General features: G+C 37.1%; 1 long non-coding RNA gene across 2 annotated transcripts in view; it reads left to right on the forward strand.

The window, feature by feature from the left end:
• The window catches only part of LOC105373896 (uncharacterized), an 86,007-nt gene extending 72,498 nt beyond the window's left edge, over positions 1-13,509 (forward strand). Inside the window, exons 4-5 of one of the 2 annotated variants that reach the window (XR_001739893.1) lie at positions 12,002-12,096; positions 13,405-13,509. This is a non-coding gene — a long non-coding RNA (uncharacterized LOC105373896). Of the gene's footprint in view, positions 1-12,001 lie in introns of both variants that reach the window. The other variant, XR_001739891.1, reaches the window with a different exon arrangement.
• The last annotated feature ends 467 nt before the right edge of the window (positions 13,510-13,976 follow it).

The raw sequence follows: 13,976 nt of genomic DNA on the forward strand, positions 1-13,976 counted from the left end.
TTGACCTCGTGGTCCACCTACCTTGGCCTGACTTTTTTTCCTTCTGTGATTTTGCAGAATTAACTGCTGCAACAAGTGTGAATTTGGAGCTGGGGCCAATAGTTTCATCTATTGAGGAAATATCTCTCATTCTCATTTTCTTCAAACACCTAGAGGGGAGGAGGTAGAAAAAATATTAAAAGCCAAAAAAATGAAAGGAAGCAAAAGACACAGAGACTAGTGCCATGAAGCAATTTGTACATACTCCCTATACAAACAATGGTGAAGCCGACCAAATTCATCCAGGTCTCTTTTCCATACCTCACATGTTTTATTCTATTAGGTTTGTGCAAAACTAATTGTGGTTTTTGCCATTGAAAGTAATTGCAAAAACCTCAATTGCTTTTGTACCAACCTAGCATTCTGAGACGTGGTAGAGGAGAACTAAAGGGACCGTGGTCATCCACTCTCCTACCCATAAGATATTCCTCATAAGAAGAGGTGCACAATCAGAAAAGAATACTGAGCATGTTTTCCCCTGAAAATGGAAACAATGCTTCTGGTTGGTCAAAGTACCATCTTGTTTAATTTCATTGAACAATTAATATATGTTCATACAGGTTATAAAGGCATTAGAAGCAACATTGAGGGAAAACAAACTTTACATGTTTTTTGCTTAATTAATGTTAACATTTCCACCATCTTCCTCTTAATTTCACTTCAGTAACTACTGAAGAGTTCTACTTTAAATCAGGATAAATAAAGGCTAACCCATGAAACACATTCACCCCCCAATCTTGGTGACTTAAGAACGGTTTGATTTTCTCATATCAGGGTCCATACAGGGATACGGGTGTGTAGCATGTCTCTATTTCCAGGTTTCCATGATTTTCGAAGGAGTACAAAGGAAACATGAGGAAACATACACTGCCTCATCAAGTGTCCACCCAAAAATGAAATGTATTTTGTAGGCCAAAGTAAGTCATATGGCCGCATCTAGCTGCAAGAAGTGGGAAGCACAAGCCAGCTATATTCCAAAAGGAAGAAAGTGAGAAATATTTGGCAACCAACACTAACAACTACCACAAGTCTCAATCAAACCTAACGTCCACATTTACCAAGAAAGTGTAGTCCCAACTTGAAACATTTTTAATTGAACTTTTTTCCTACTTTTAATTTTCCTTAGATGGTAAATAGCATCTACTCAAATTCACTTAATATATATTCAGACATCCTATAGTTCTTATCCTATTTGGTTCACCTTATTTAAGGTGATGTGTGTCAATACCTCCTCCTACTACTATTGTGATTTTGCTACATTTTTTGCTTTCATTTTTCTCTTGATAAATATGTGTGTGTGTGTGTGTGTGTGTGTGTGTGTGTATAGGTAAATTAAAATACTGAATTGTTTGTCCTGTAATGGTTCATAGTTATTACAGCTTTGTTTATGAATTGTGCCCTCATTATAGGGCAGGAGTTAGTCATGTGAAGAAATGTGTATAGAGTAATAACATTCCAGCACCTATGAAGGGGTACAGATAGAGTATAGAATAAAGAGGTACCTTCTAGATAGTAGAAAACCTGCATTCAAGCACGTTAAGAGAACAGGGAGCTTGCACTAAGAATTACAAGAAGTAGTTGCTTCCTTTTGGAGCAACAGTATCAGGCAAGGAATTGTGAGAAACGGGAACTGGAGAGTTAGACAGGGTCTGGGTGATATATCATTTTTATCTTTCTTATTCCTGGGATGATTATGCTGAAGCAAAATTAAGTACAATAACTCTCAACAAAAATGTTTGAGAATGATGTGATCATTAAAGTCATCTCATACTTAAACAAACATGTTCAATCAAAATGACTTGAATCTCAGTTATAGAGTCACTGAAATTGCGGAAATTAGTTTTGGCATGGAGTTACGTTACCACAGAAACACCATGATCTGATGGAAAAAATTCTCAATGGGGCACATGAAGATTCATGCCCTATTCCTGTTTTTTGTGGTTAAGCAGTTTTACGACTTTAGATAACTTAGGTAACCTTTGTGTCTCAACTTCTTCATAAGTAAGATTGATGTTTTTACAGTTTTTGTATTTAAAGCATAAGGTTATAGCATAATGGGTGTGTAAAGGTCTCTTGAAAAATAAAATTAAAATTATCATAAATGAGATATTCTTGATCCCCATGATAAACAATTCATAGGACATGCCATCAATATTCAAAGTAATAAAAATCTGACATTTAGTCTAGGCCTTCAGTGCTGATGAAATATTCTATTAGATTTTATTTGCAATAAATCCCATCAAGACTAGAAGTACTTCCTAAATAAAAATGTAATATTTGAAGATCAAGCCTCTCAAAAAATTAGACTGATGTAAACTAGACCAAATTTTAAACATCTCTTTTAAACATACATATGTATGACTTATAATAAGGGCCTCGTCATGACTGGCTGCTTGGGCATTCATTTAAGAACTCATCACAATAATTAGGATGATCACTTTTAATTCTGGACAATGTCATTTTGTAAACCATTGTAATTTTCCATTAATTATAAATGTTGACCTCTTGACCAATCAGAACATTTTCAATCAGTTTAATTATTCCTCAAGAATCCCAATTACTTTGTCAATAATCAAAATAAATGCCATTAGTCATAAACTTTTTACGTGCCATTTAGTGAAATCTACATTCATTTGAAAGTTAAACCGCCTTTCCCATGTTTCCTTTAAATTTGATTCTCATGATGCTCAATGGCATGACAAGAGCTAAGAGGACGTTGGGGACCCAAAGTACCAGGAAGCAGGAAGTCATCTAAACAGACTCTAAAAAGGTTTCCACATCATCAGATTTCTCAGCAGAATCCAGTGCACTGATAAGAATTAGGCCTTGCCTTCCTATTTTAACAAAACACTTTATTCAATATGTATTTAATGAGTATTTAATATGTACCAAGCACTGTAGTCATCTTTGAAATTTCAGAGAAAAGATAAGGTAGACAATATCTCTGACTACAAAGAAACCATAGCTTTTTGTTTTTGTTTTCAATTAAGGCAAAATATACATAGTACAATGCTCAGAAATTAAATGGACAATTGCATGAATATTGACAAGTGTATTCACATGTGTCACAAGTGTATTCACATGTGTCACAATAAAACATGTATCTTTGGTCTTTTATCTCGGTTCCTGATATAGAGTTTCTAAAACCCTTGTAATTTCCTGAATGATGGAGAAATAGGAGTGACTTACAAAGAGCTCCTAAAGCCTTTGGAACTTTTGGGTGGAAGAAGCAGCCTTTGTTCTAATTTGACGACTCTAGCTGGACTCCTGGATAGTCGGGTTACCAGAAAGACCAAGCCATGATTGAAGGTTTGGAGTAGATTTTAGCCTCATCCTCACCCTCCAGAAAGGAAGAGGGGCTGGAGATTGATTTGAGTTAATAATGGAACATGCCTACATCATGAAGCTTCCATAAAAAATCCATAAAGTTTAGAGTTCAGAGAATTTCTGGGTTGGTAAATGTGTCCACATGACAGCAGAGTGGTACATTCCAGCTCCACGGGGATAGATATTCCTGTGCTCCAGACCTTTCCAGAACACACCCTATGTACCTCTTCCTCTGCCTATTTATATGTATCCTTTATAATAAACCAGAAAACGTAAGTAAAATGTTTCTTTCAGTTTTGTGAGTAATTACAGTAAATTATTGAAACTGAGGAGGAGGTTGTGGGAACCACTGATGTGTAGACAAGTTGGACAGAAATGTGGGCACCCTGGAATCTACTACTTGCAATCAGCATCAGAAATGGGAGGCAATCTTGTGGGACTGAGGTGGGTTTTGTTTGTTTGTTTGAGACAGAGTCTCGCTCTGTTGCCAGGCTGGAGTGCAGTTGCACAATCTCGGCTCACTGCAACCTCCACCTTCCCGGTTCAAGCAATTCTCCTGCCTCAGTTTCCTGAGTAGCTGGGACTACAGGCACCCGCCACCATGCCCAGCTATTTTTTGTATTTTTAGTAGAGATGGGGTTTCACTCTCTTGGCCAGGATGCTCTCGATCTCTTGACCTCATGATCTGCCCGACTCGGCCTTCCAAAGTGCTGGGATTACAGGCATGAGCCACCGCGCCCGGCCAGGACTGAGTTCTTAATCTGTGACTTTGCTCTAACTCTATGTAGAATTAGTGTCAGAATTAAACTGAATTGTTGGACACCCAGTTGGTTGGTTGGTTTGGAAAACAAAACAAAACCAACTTCCACACTTTCACATTTGGTGCCAGAAGTGTGAACAGAGGAGCAGTTTTTCTTTAGGAACCAGCAACCCATTTAAGATGCAGCTTCTATCCATTGCCGAAGTTTCCCCATGCTCCTTTCAGTGGATTTCCAACCCTCATGGGCAAACTCTGCCCTGATTTCTATCAACACAGATTCTTTTGGCCTGTCTTAGAAATTCATGAAGGGGGATTCCTACAATTCATATTCTTTTGTGTCTAGCATCTTTTGCTTTCATCTAATGTAACATTCTCAAGATTCATTTTTTCCTTCTCATGTTCATTTTTTTTTTATTACTTGGGTGGTATTCCATTGTATAAATATGTCACTATAGTATTTGTTTTTGAAAATTTGTGTTATTTCCTGTTTTGGCTATAATTTATAAAGCTGCTACAAATATTCAATAATGGACTTTTTATGAATATGTTTTTATTTCCCTTGGGTATATACCTAGAAGGGAATAGTTGAATTGTATGGTAAGAGCATGTTTAACTTTAAAGGAAATTGCCAGTTTTCCAACATAATTGTAACATTTTACACTTTAACCAGAAATGTATTTTTCGTTTGTTTGGTTTGAGACAGGGTCTCACTATGTCACCCAGGCTGGAGTACAGTGGTGTGATCTCAGCTCACCACAGCCTCAACCTTCCTGGCTGAAGCAGTCCTCCCACCTCAGCCTCCTGAGTAGCTGAGACTACAGGCATGCACCACCACGCCCAGCTGATTTTTGTATTTTTTGTAGAGACAGTGTCTTGCCATGTTGTCCAGGCTGGTCTCGAACTTTTGGGCTCAAGCGGTCTGCTCACCTAGACCTCCCAAAATGCTGGGATTACAGATGTAACCAGAAATGTTTGATCCTTCCAATTGTTCCATGTCATCATCAACGTTTGCTGTGGTCAGTGAAGTTTCCCTTTTCATGTGCTTGTTAGACATTTCTTCTTTTGTAAAGCTTCTGTTCAAGTCGTACAATTTTTAAACTTGAGTCGTGTTATCACTAAGTTTTAAGAGTTTCTAAAAATACATTCTGAATATAAATAATCTGTTAGGTATATGTATTTCAAATATTTCTCTCAGTTTGGGGCTTGTCTTTTATATTTTCTTAATACTATGTTTTTGATGAGGAAAGTCATTTAAATTTGGTGAAGTCACTTTATAACTTCTATTTTTTATAGTTAGGGATTTTTGTATTTTCCAATAAATTTGTTTCTTACTATAAGATAATAAATACATTTTCAAAAAGCTTTATAATATTAGCTTTTATATGTAGGTCTATGATACACTTCAAATACATTTTGTGTGATGTGAGGTAGGGATCAATGTACATACTTTTCCAGTCATTTATCTAGTTGATGCAGTGCCATTTGTAGGTGAAAAAAAAAAAAAAACAACTTTCTCCATTAAATTGCCTTGAATCTTTACTTAAAATCAATTGACTTGATATTTGAGAATTTATTTCTGGATTCTATTTTCTTTCATTGATCTATTTGTCCATCCATGTGCCAATACCACTGTTGCAACTTAAGGTAAGCTGTGAAATCAAATGTATACAGCCTCCATTTCTCCCCTTATTTTTCAAGACTGTTTCGGCTTTTTATAGGTCTTTTTTATTTCCATATTAAGTTTTAAAATTGATTCGCCCATTTTGGTAAAAACAGTTGCTTTGGTTGCAACTAGGATTTCATTAAATCTGTACATCAATTTGGTGAGAATTGTTATCTTAACTGTTAATAACATTGAGTCTTCCAATCCACGAACACACTGGTTGGACCAGACCTCCATCATCTTCCAGTTCTATGCAAAAATCATCTACCACTGTGAAGCTCTCAGTCCTGTAGCAGGTGCTGCCACCTTCTCCTTGGCTTTGTGAGTTCTCTCCCTATGAAGGCACAGCTCAACCTTCAGTCCAGAACCTACTGGAAACTCTTATGCAGACTTTTCCTGAGCTCCTTTCTCCTTGGCTCTACTATTTCCATCCCTTCCAGCAACACCATATTTAAATCTCAGCCTTCTTGGCTCAGCAAGACCACCTCACTCTGCCTGAGATCTACTTCTGTGCGCACTGGTTTAGAATGTATTCCCAGGAAGAAAGCCAGAGTAAGCAAACATGACGCTAAACTCATGTTTATTCCCTTTTCTCAAAGATCACAATCTTACGTAGACTTTTTTTTTTAATGTACGGAAATAGTTGCCTCATAATTTCTCAAATTTTATGTTCTTTTTTTAATGGGAGAGGGTAGTCTTGATCAGTTACATCATCATGGCAAGCAGCAGAATTATTGCAATTTATGGCTTTAAAGAGTTGGACAAACATTTAACATGTGATTTCGAAATTTCAAAATAAATACTGTACTGTTTGTGTGTGTGTGTGTGTGTGTGTGTAAGAGAGAAGCTGCCATAGTTTAGAGGTTCAAAAAAGGCCTCTTGGAGCAATTGATGTTAAGTATACACCTGAAAGTTTAAGTAGAATCAGGCAGATGGAGAGAGAGGGAGAGAGTTAAAGTGCTCTGTTTTTAAATTATGAAGCATGAAGACTATGATCAGATGCTATTGCAAGGAATCAGTGGCTAAGTCTCAAGCATGTGTGAAAACATCATTATATTCTTCAAATGTCCTTCTCTCTAGGGCCTGTCATATTTCCACTTGCTTCCAGAGGAAGGGCATGCCTCACACTGCTAGGACTCCCAGTAACTGAAGTTTAAATAGCATTTCTATGATGGGTACTTTCTGTCTCCAAAAGATTACATGCCAAATTATCTAGATAACTCAGAATTCCTTTGTATAATATCATTTTTCTAGATAAAGGAATATAAAACAATTTTAGACTAGGATTAGCAAAATGGTCTTTTATGTTCAAATTTTATCATGAAAATTTCCACATTAAATTTGTTTGAGGAACACAGGAATCTCGCCTCTACTAAAAAAGAGAAAACCTTGAAATATATCCATAAATTAAACTGCACTAATTACCTACTTCAAAAAAAATACAATACTCTGTTATCTAAATGACAAATGAACTGACTTACGATCTCTGTCTTGGACTGTCCCCTGGAACCTGCTCCAAAAGGAGCCAAGGAAAAGCCCTTCTCCGCCATCTTGGTTTTGATTTTGGTATTGTTGTAACTCTCTAGGGATACAAAAGACTTGTATATAATATAACTGGGGTTTACCTTTTTCTTATTTTAGCAACATTAAAGATTAGTAAAATTTTCCTGATACACTCATTTGTGTATTGAGAATTTAAATTACATTAGGAATTCCCATTTTCAATTAAATTTTATTCCCTATGTCTTTCAAATATCAGGAGGGAAAGTATCAGGCAAAAGGAAAATTATTAGCCAAGGATGTAATCTCAACGTGTCTCGTTATCCCACAGTTTTTAGTGTCTTTCTCTTCTTCTGTACCTTGGAGACTGTAGTCAAGCTACATTCACATTTGCAATCTTATGGTCTATTTTAGATTTTTAGCTAGACCAGCTTTCAAAAAAATTCTGTTCACTCTGCAGTCGTATATATTTATAGTCCTCTGGAGGATAACTCCTCTTCAAGGCATTAAACTTACAGACTCAGGTCATATTCCAGCCCATGTTGTCTGAGGTTCAGAAAGTACAATAACATTTGGCCATTTTGGTTTGTTTTTGAACATCCGTTCTTCTGTTGAAATGTCAGAAAACCCATTCTCAAGTCAAAAGATAAAAAATGGGATTGATTCTTTCTTTATGTGTACCCAGCTAGGCATTCATGCAAAATACTAATGAAACTCCCAGTAGGGGTGAGGGAGGTAAGATTTGACAAGAAGCAAGTTGAATTATTTAGACAATGTTAACGTTATTTTACAACTAAATAAGGACCTTTTAATTTTTTAAAATAAACCTAATATTTTGGAATCTATTTAGATTTACAGAAAAGTTGCAAAGGCAGTACAGAGACGTCCTGTGTACCTCACACCCAGTCTCCCTTATTATCAGCAGTTTTATTAGCATGGTATATTTGTCACAATTAACAAACTAATATTTATATATTATTATTCACTACAGGCCATATTTTATTCAGCCATTTTAAGATTTTACTAATGTCCTTTCTCCGACCCTGCAGAGGATAACAAACCACATTTAGTCATCATTGCTTCTTAGGTTCCTCTTGCATGGACAGTGTCACAAACTTTCCTTCTTTTAGATGACTTTGATAGGAATCTTGTAGGTTTTTCTCTCAGTTGAATTTGTCTGATGGTTTTTCTCATAATTAGGCTGTGATTATAGATTTTGGGAAGAAAACACACAGAATTAAAAGGCCATTTTCAGCTGGGCATGGTGGCTCATCCCTGTAATCCCAGCATTTTGGGAGGAGGCCGAGGTGGGTGGATCGCTTGAGGCCAGGAGTTTGAGACCAGCCTAGTCAACATAGTGAGACCCCCATCTCTACAAAAACTACAAAAATTAGCCAGGCGTGATGGCAGACACCTGTAGTTCCAGCTACTTGGGAGGCTAAGGCAGGAGAATAACTTGAGCCCGGGAGGCGAAGGTTGCAGTGAGCCAAGATTGCACCATTGTACTTCACTCTGGGTGATGGAAGTGAAACCTTGTCTCAAAAAATAAAGATAAGATAAATAAATAGCCATTCTCATTATATCTCACAAAGGGTATATATGAACAATATGAGTGATCTCTGTTGATGTTAATCTTGATCACTTGACTGAGGTAGTGTTCGTCAGGTTTCTCTCCCTTAACATTACTTTTTTCTCCTTCCTTTTCCACCCTATCCTCTTTGGAAAGATATTATTATAGCCCACACTTTAGGAGTGAGATGTTATTCTCCACCTCCTTGAGGGCAAGAGTATCTACATAAATAATTTGAAATTCTTCTGCATGGGAATTTGTCTATTCATCCTCATTTGTTTATTCAATGGTTTATTTATATCCTTGTGGACTCATGAATATTTATTTATATTCAGCTTATAATCCAACACTACTTCATTTATTTTGTTGCTCAACTTGGTCCATTTTTGGCCATTGAGAGATCTTTCAATTGGCTCCTGTGTGCCCTTGACATAAACAATGTGTTCTTGTTGTTTATCATCTTTTTGTTGAAATGCAATAAAGAAAAAATACAGTAGGACAAAATTTATAATGCATATATATGTTGGTAAAATACACAAATGGGTAAAATTTGTTGTTTGGAGCTGGAAATTTCATCATGGACCCAACACTAGGTTGTCCCTGCAATTGTTCCAACAGCACCAAAAATGTATATGAAATTTCTAGAAAATGCAGGTTTTTTAAAAATTGGTTTTGATTTTAATTTTGTTGCAAAATGCTTAAAACAATAGAGTAAAATCACAATTTATTGCCTAGGTTAGAGAAGTAAATGAAATGTACTTCCTTTATTTATTTTTTTTCTTTTGGAAGCAATACCACTAATGCCAGTGCTCGAGCCTTTGAGTTGCTTTTATCTCTTGCTTTTGTCATCCTTCGTGATTCCTTTCAGTTTTTTTTTCCCCCTCTTAATCTTGTTTCAAGTACCGCCTTCTTCTCCCTGATCCCCTTCCTCATCTGTCCCTCCAGGCAAGTCTCTGCTACTTGCTTATCCTCAGACAACAATTTCCTGATACAAACTAGACCTTGTATAAGATCCTCTTCCTCCTGGGCTTGAATTATTTCATTTGAAAATATAATGTTTGGACTAGATGATGTCCCAAATATCATGTATATCTAAAATTTCATGATTCTGGCAACCTATGGTTTTGCCAATTATTAAGAGATTATGCCACAGAATCCCCTGCAAAGCTGCAAATTGCGAAAACAAGTTGCACACAGAGTAAGTGACAGAGCCAGGAATAGCTCCAAGTCTCTGACCATCAAGAATCACCTGAGGCAGGAGAATGGCGTGAACCAGGGAGGCGGAGCTTGCAGTGAGCCGGGGATCTCGCCACTGCACTCCCGCCTGGGTGACAGAGCGAGACTCCGTCTCAAGAAGAAAAAAAAAGAATCACCTCAGGCCAGGCGCGGTGGCTCACGCCTGTAATCCCAGCACTTTGGGAGGCCGAGGAGGGCGGATCATGAGGTCAGGAGATCGAGACCACCCTGGCTAACACAGTGAAACCCTGTCTCTACTAAAAATACAAAAAAATTAGCCGGGCGTGGTGGCGGGCGCCTGTGGTCCCAGCTACTCGGGAGGCTGAGGCGGGAGAATGGCTTGAACCCGAGAGGCGGAGCTTGCAGTGAGCCGAGATCGCGCCACTGCACTCCAGCCTGGGCGACAGAGTGAGACTCTGTCTCAAAAAATTAAATAAATAAATAAATAAATAAATAAATAAATAAATATATATATATATATGAACCACCTCTCCAAGCCTCTCCACTCTACTGCTTTATGCATGGTGTTTAGCCTTCCTTCCTTCCTTCCTTTTCCTTCTTCCCTTTCCTTTCCTTTCTCTCTTTTCTCTCTCTCCTTTCTTTCTTTCCTTTCTTTCTTTCTTATTTCCTTCCTTCCCTCCTCCCTCCCTCCCTACCTCCCTCCATCCCTCTTCTTCCTTCCTTCCTCCCCTTCCTCCCCTCCCTTCCTTCCTTTCCTCCCTCCCTCCCTCCTTTCCTTCCTCCCTCCCTCCTTTCTTTCCTCCCTTCCTCCTTTCCTTCCTCCCTCCCTTTCCTCCCTCCCTCCCTCCTTTCCTTCCTCCCTCCCTCCTTTCTTTCCTCCCTTCCTCCTTTCCTTCCTCCCTCCCTCCTTTCCTTCCTCCCTCCCTCCTTTCCTTCCTCCCTCCCTTTCCTTCCTCCCTCCCTCCCTCCTTTCCTTCCTCCTCTTCCTTCCTCCCCTTCCTCTCCTTCCTCCCTCCCCTTCCTCTTCTTCCTCCCTCCCCTTCCTCTCCTTCCTCCTTTTCCTCCCCTTCCTTCCTTCTTCCCTCCCTCCCTCCCTTCCTCCCCTTCCTTCCTTCCTTCTTTCCTTCCTCCCTCCCTTCCTCTCTCTCTCTGTCTTCTTTCTTTTTCTCCAGGCTCTGAAATTAATTACCCTCACAATTCCTTGAAGCCTTTATTCTACTCTATTTGATCAGCACCAATAGCTTAAGAAGAGAAATTCATCTTCATGATCCTTAGTATATTGCACTGTGAAAAGAGCCTGTACTCTTCTCCAAGCAGATTGAAATGCATAATTTTTCAACTGAATGCAAAAGAGGAACAACAAGGATTATTTAATACAGTGACTAATTCCCTTTCTCTCTCCAATTAGTCTGGGTTTAAAGAAGTGAAAAAAAATGCAAGAATTTCCAAAGACTTAGCCCTGTTTCAAGTGCTTTGAGAGATAGGAAAGGAATATAAAATACATTGCAGGTATGAAATTAACAGTCTGCCATCGGAAGGGCAGTATTAGTATACCTGAAATCATCAGTTTACAATACAACGTTATGTAATTAATGGCTAAGTTGTGTGGGACTGCCTCCTTGCCCACCATAATACCTAATTCTGGATATCCTTTCAAATGTGCTTTTGATTCAGAATAACAAAGTTATAACAAGTTGAAAATAACACAAAAGTACTTTCTTGGCCTGAATCATTATATTTTCTCTTTAGTGCTGCCATTGTAAAGATGAACTGTATAATGTATGGGGTGCTTCTTGACATGTTTTCTAAACAGGGCTTCAGGCCAGGTGATGTTCCTGAATATTTGTAATAAAAGTGACAACTAAGGAGAAAGATTATGGCATCTGATACCATGTGGCCATTTGGTAGCAGCTCAATAAATATATATCAATTGCTTTCCTTCCAGGTGTGATGAAAGAGCACCTGGTTCCCTTAGAATCACAGAAGTAAAGAAGTAGTTGGGATTCATCAGAGCATGCTGTGCCAGCTTCTCAGATGAGTGTATCCTTGAATACCCAGTATCCAGAGCTTCTCTCTGCATCCCTTTGACTTTTACCAGTAAGGCTCTTTTCCCTTTACTCAGAATGAGCATGCCAACCTTTTTCCATTTTTTTTCCAAGTCTTGCTAGTAACCTTTTGTGGAACCCACCAGCTAACTCTTCTGAGAAGAGAGAAACTAGAGCTGTCTATTGCAACTCTCTCATCTTTCTACTCTGGTCTACAAAGGCTTCTGCAATCCTACTCAACATTTCTTTTCTCGGTACATTTTCTCAGTGGAAAACATTTCTGCCTTCAATCCAAGACTAAATTCTCTGCCTGTGTCCCTGGGCTTCTGTGATGAGTATTCTCTCTCCCTAGAACTCCCTTTTCTCACTGCCCTTGTAATGGAACTCAGCTCCAGTCTTGCCTCCTCTAAGTAGGGTGTCTTCTCTTTTTCTGGGCACCATTACACACTCAGGAACCTCAAAGGAATGCAAACCCATGGCAGCGATTTCATCTCCCCTAGCATGTTAGGTTGGTGTCCTCATTAGAACTATTATGCCCTCAAATGAGGAAGCTTATCTTATTTGACAGATGGATATTTGTCTGAAATTTTCCATATTTGTTTTAATACTTATTAAAAGTGTGATAAATCTTTATTGAGGAAAGTTCAGAAAACAGAAACCTATAAGAACATACAAATAATTACTGATGTCCCACTTCAGAAATGGTTACTCTTCAGTTGTGTAAATTTCCCTCTAGTCATTTTCTTTACCAAATTTATAGAAATAACATTCCATTTTACATTTGTAAAATGTTTATAATTTATATCTTTCTTTCCGGCTCAACATTATATTATAAGCAGTAGTTCACAGCATTAAAAGGCCTTCAAATATATAATATTTATTCCTATAACTTATTTAACCTTTCCAGAAATGTTTTTTGTTGCTGTTGCAAATTTCTACATATATATAAAGTTATGGTAAAAAAATTTTTATATATAAATACTGTCCACATCTATTAAGATTTTTCCCTTAAATCAGCATTATTGGCTCAAAGGTACATACCTCATAAATATTATTAAAAATGTTTAAGATTCTTAACTATACTTGGCAAATTGTTTCCTAGAAGTTAGCACTAACTCGTATTTTCATGTGTATCATATGAAAATGACAATGTCAGTGTCCACTCATTAGTATCAATGACTATTTTTGAAATCTGCTAGTTTGATTGGAAAAAGTTAGTATCTGACTTTTAAACTGGCATTTCCTTGATAATAAGTTGAAAATTTGGCATTTCCTTAATAAGTTGAAAATTTATCATTTACAGGTGTTAGTTATTTGTATATCTGCTTTTGGTGAACTGTCTACATTAGTATTTTGGGAGGAGGTTTTTTTTTCTGCTGGTGTCTTGGCAATGAACTCTTTAGGTATGAAAGACATAAACATTTATTATTTGTATTTTTTAAAATTTATGAAATTTTAAATGTAATTTTTAAAAATTCAAAAATTTATCCTTTTGGTTTATAATAATTCATTCTCCTTTTATATTTATCAAATACTTCTTCATCTACATAAATGTATAATTATATGTGAGATTTTTATGGTTTAATTATTTGCATGGTACTAGAATGTTCTTGAGAGTATAGTGTTGTCTAGAATTCTAAATAAAGTTTTTATTTCCTTATAACTTAATTTTCTATAGCATGTTTAAGTATCCCATTTTTCACCAATGTTTAGTATTCTTCTATTACATATTTACCAAGTTTATTAACTGTTTATGTAAAACACCTTATGTATTCATTTATATATTATGTTTATTATATATACTTATAATATCCATATATAAAACTTATTTAAATGTATATACACACTTATATACATTATGCCTATAAACATTGC

Source organism: Homo sapiens, chromosome 2, assembly GCF_000001405.40.
Source record: "Homo sapiens chromosome 2, GRCh38.p14 Primary Assembly".
NCBI classification, from domain to species: domain Eukaryota; kingdom Metazoa; phylum Chordata; class Mammalia; order Primates; family Hominidae; genus Homo; species Homo sapiens.